The sequence below is a fragment of the Homo sapiens genome, chromosome 3 (genome assembly GCF_000001405.40).
Source record: "Homo sapiens chromosome 3, GRCh38.p14 Primary Assembly".
NCBI lineage: Eukaryota > Metazoa > Chordata > Mammalia > Primates > Hominidae > Homo > Homo sapiens.
Window position 1 is genome coordinate 6,283,302 of NC_000003.12, and position 5,117 is coordinate 6,288,418.

General features: G+C 38.8%; 1 annotated feature.

Annotated features, from left to right (window-relative positions):
• Positions 619-1,119: an enhancer, noted in NCBI's record as "H3K27ac hESC enhancer chr3:6325607-6326107 (GRCh37/hg19 assembly coordinates)". NCBI's record gives its function as "activates a minimal SCP1, AML or CMV promoter by ChIP-STARR-seq in naive H9 embryonic stem cells {active_cell/tissue: H9 hESC(naive)}" and the evidence as "EXISTENCE:reporter gene assay evidence [ECO:0000049][PMID:30033119]".

Here is a 5,117-nt window from a genome sequence, read left to right on the forward strand (position 1 = left end):
AGAGATGGAGCTGGAACCTGCACGTAGCCCAGGGAGTTTTGCACATGGGGCTGTTGTAGCAAAATGTGGCCATGAGTGCCCATCCCCTAAGGCTCTCCATCTTCCTTGAACTGACTCTAACCACTAACTCTGGGCCAGGAGAGAGTAGGGCTGTCTTTCCTGCAAGACTGGGACACATTGGCTCTGTGTACCCACCTGTCTAAGGCTCCTGCCTGAACACTCCTGCAAGAACATATAGACAGTACAGCATCGACTGCCCAGCCTGAGTACTTTGCTGGTATCCCGAGAGCACATCAGCCCTTATAGCACAGACTGACTCTGAGGATCCAGGGGACAAAAGCTGACAGCCCAGTCCTAACACCAAGGGTTAGAGCTCAGGAGTGCTGAGCTGAAATCTGTGTCTGGCACTTGAGAGGAGGAAGAGTCCCTACTCTCAGAACACTGAGAAGAGTGAGATGCAAGTTTATGGACTGGTGTGGTAGCTGGGTATGCCTCCCTCTACAAGGCCAGTCTAGGAAGAATGTGACCTGCCTGCTAGCCACAACCTGTCCCTAAGGGAGCACCACAGCCTGGAACACCTAATAACTCAGCAATCTGGGTGCAGAAGGCTTGGAAAAAACTAGCAGGTCAGACCAGATTCTGGGGCAGCCACCAGAAGGAGACCTGGTCAAGGGAGAGTTAGTTAAGTAGTCCCCACAGCTGTCTGCTCAGCAAAACAAAAACCATGGGCTGTGGGTGCCACACCAGCTACATGCCCATGGCAACGCCGTCCCTCCTGGAGATTCCCTCCCCTTGAATTACTGCATCAACAGATGGCCTGCAGACATACCACAATCTGCTCTGATTCTGCTAAGCATAGAGGACCAGCATGCCTCTGGAGTGCTGCAGGTCTCCTGGCAATCTACATTTCAGCTTGGGCTGGTCTCAGGGAGGGGAACACAGCTGGCTAGTACACCCTTGGGGCTAAGGAAACACAGAGGTAGTGCCAGCAATTGGAGGGTGATCCCATAAGGCCTGGGAATGGACCTGGCAAGGGGGTCGTTGCACCCTATTATCTCCCCAAATGCAGAGCAATGCTGAGTATGCACTGAAATGCAGAACTTTGGAGCTGAGCGAGAATCTATGTGCCAGCCATTACTTTTAAGCACCATCCACTGGATCACAGCTTGAATTACACCACCACCAAGATCCTTCCTGTATACATTGCCTGTGAAACCTAATGCAGGAATGTAGCCACAAATGAAGATTCCAAACATAGCCTTAACTCACTGAAAACACTCAGAAATGAAGCCAATCAACTATACTCAATTTAATATAAAAACAAAAATTTGCATCCAAGTAACAGCAAATTCAAAAAGATAAAGCAACATCCCAGCCCTTTCAGATGAGAAAGAATCAGGGCAAGATAACTCTGGCAACTCAAAAACCAGGGTGTCTCCTTACTTTCGAATGATCACACTAGCTCCCCAGCAATGGCTCTTAAACAAATTAAAACAGTTAAAGTGACAGACATAGTATACAGAATCTGGATGGCAAGGAAGCTCAATAAGATCCCGGAGACAGTTGAAACCCAATTCAAGGAAGCCTGTAAAACAACCCAAGAGCTGAAAGGCGACACAGCCATGTTAAGAAAGAACTTCTTAAATTGAAAAATTCACTATAGAAATTTCAAGTCATAGTTGGAAACATTAACAACAGAATAGATCAAGCTGAGCAAAAATCTCAGAGCTCAAAGACAAGTCCTTCTAATCAACTCGGTCAGGCAAAAATAAAAAAAAAATGTTTTTAATGAACGAAGCCTCTGAGAGATACAGAATTATGTAGAGACCAAACCTATGACTCATTGGCAGGCCTGAGAGAGAAGGAGAGAGGAAGCACTTTGCAAAACATATTTGAGGCTATAGTCTACAAAAATTTTCTCAATCTCACTAGAGAGGTAGACATGTAAATTTAATAAATTTAGAGAATCCCTGCTAGGTACTATACAATACAACCATTCCCAAGATTTATAATCATCAGTCTTTCCCAAGGTCAACATGAAAAAAAAAGTAAAGGCAAGTAAAGAAAAGGTTCAGGTCACTTAAAAAGGGAATCCCATCAGGCTAGCAGTAGACCTCTCAGCAGAAACTTTACAAGCCAGAAGAGATAGGACCTATTTTTAGCATAATTTAAAAAATTCCAACCAGGAATTTAATTAATGTCTGGCCAATATTTCTCATAGGTTTCATAAGCGAAGAAGAAATAAAATCCTTTTTGGAGAAGGAATGGCTAAGGGAACTCATTACTACTAGAACACCATTGCAAGAGGCCCTTAAGGGAGTGCTTACACATGGAAATGAAAGAACAATACCTGCCACCACAAAAACACACTTAAGTACATAGCCCACAGACACTATAAAGGAACTACACAATCAAGTTACAAGATAACCAGATAACCAGATAACAACATGACAATAGGATCAAAGTTTCACATATCAATATAAACCTTCAATGTAAATGGCCTAAATGCCCCACTAAAAAGGCATAGAGTGGCAAGTTAAAAGAAAAATTCAGACCCAACTGTCGGCTATCTTAAAGAGACCCAGCTCACATGTAACAACACACACAAGCTCAAAGTTAAAGGATGAAGAAAGACCCATCTTGCAAATGGAAAACAAAAGAGAGAAGGGGTGGCTATTCTTATATCAGATAAAATAGACATTAAAGCAATAAAAGTAAAAAAGGACAAAGGAGGGCATTACATAATGTCAATGGGTTCAATTCAACGAGACAATTTAATTATCCTAAATATGTATACACCCAACCCTGGAGCACCTAGATTCAAAAACAAATTCTTCTAGACCTACAAAAAGACTTAGATAGCCACACAATAATAATGGGAGACCTCAATACCCCACTAACAGTGTTAGAGAGATCATCAAGGCAGAAAACTAACAAAAAGAATTCTGAACTTAAACTTGATACTTGACCAATTGGACCTAATAAACATGTACAGAATACTGAAACTAACAACCACAGAATATACATTCTTCTCATCTGCACACAGAACATAATCTAAATTGACCACATGCTTGGCCATAAGCGAGTCACAACAAATTTAAAAAAATCAAGATCATACCAAGCACCTTCTTGGACCACAGTTCAATAAAATAGAAATCAATACCAGGAATATCTCCAGGGTTCACATAGTTACATGGAAATTAAATGACATGCTTCTAAATGACTTGGGTAAAAAATAAAATTAGGCAAAAATTTAAAAGTTCTTTGAAATTAATGAAAATTGAGACACAACATACCAAAATCTTTGGAATGTAACTAAGGCAAGGTTAAGAGGAAAATTTATAGCACCCAACATTTACATCAGGAAGTTAGAAAGATCTCAAATTAACAATCTAACATTGCACCTGGAGGAACTAGAAAAACAAGAACAAACTAAGCAGAAGAAAAACTAGCAGAAGAAAAGAAATAACCGAAATCAGGAGAAGTGAACAAAATTGAGACTCAAAAATCTACACAAAAGATCAACTAAACCAAAAGTTAGTTCCTTGGAACTATAAACAAGATTGTTAGGCTTCTAGCTAGATTAACAAAAAAAGAGAGAAGATCCAAATAAGCACAACCTGGAATGAAAAAAATGACACTACAACTAATCACACATAGATACAAAAGATCCTCAGAGACTATTATGAACATCTTTATACACACAGATTAGGAAATCTAGAGGAAATAGATAAATACCTGGAACCACACAACCTCCCAAGATTTAACTAGGAGAAAATTGAAAACCAAAACAGGCCAATAACAAGTTCAGAAATTGAATCAATAACAAAAACCTACCAACCATTAATGCCCCAGACTACATGAATTCACAGCCAAGTTCTACCAGACTATATAAAAAAGAGCTGCTTCTAATACTACTGAAACTATTCCAAAAAATTGAGGAGGAGGGACTCCTCCCTGACTCATTCTATGAAGCAAGCATTATCCTCATTCAAAAATCTGGCAGAGACACAACGGAAAAGAAAAGTTCAGGCCAATATCCTTGATAAGCCTAGATGCAAAAATTCTTAACAAAATACTAGCAAACCAAATTCAGGAGCACATCAAAAGCTAATTTACCATGATCAATTCTGCTTTATTCCTGGGATACAATGTTGGCTCAACATGTGCAAATCAACAAATGTGATTCACGACATAAACAGAATTAAAAACAAAGCCACATCATCATCTCAATAGATGCAGAAAAAGATTCTATAAAATCCAACATTTCTTCATGTTAAAAACCCTCAAGAAACTCTCAAGGCATTGAAGGCACATATCTAAAAATAACAAGTGCCGTCTATGTCAAGCCCACAGCCAACATTATACTGAATGCGCAAAGGCTGGAACCATTCTCCTTGAGAAGTAGAAAAAGACAAGAATATCCACTCTCACCACTCCTATTTAACACAGTACTGGAAGTCCCATATGAGTAATCGGGCAATAGAAATAAACAAAAGGCATCCAAATAGAAAAATAAATCAAAGTATCTCTCTTTTCTGACAATATGATTCTATATAAAGAAAACTCTAAAAACTGCCAAAAGGTTTCTATTAATAGAACTGATAAACAACTTCAATAAAGTTTGAGGATACAAAAATTAATGCACAAAAATCAGTAGGATTTTTATACACCAATATGTTCAAGCTGAGAGCCAAATGAAGAATGCAATCCCATTAACTATAGCCAGAAAAAGAATAAAATACCAAGAAATACATGTAACCATGGAGGTGAAAGATTTCTAAAAGGAGTACTACAAAATACTGCTGAAAACAATTGTAGGTGACACAAAGAAATGAAGAAAAAACATTTATTTTATGATTAAACACTTTATGCTAATGGATTAGAAGAATCCATATTATTAAAATGACCATACTGCCAAATCAATCTACAGATTCAATCCTATTTCTATCAAACTACCAATGTCATTTTTCACAGAACTGGAAAAAACTATCAAAAAATTCATAGAGAACAAAAAAGAGCCCAAATAGCCAAAGCAAACGTAAGCAAAAAGAACAAAGCTAGAGGCATCACATTAGCCAACTTCAAACTATAAGACTACAAAAACCAAAACAGCA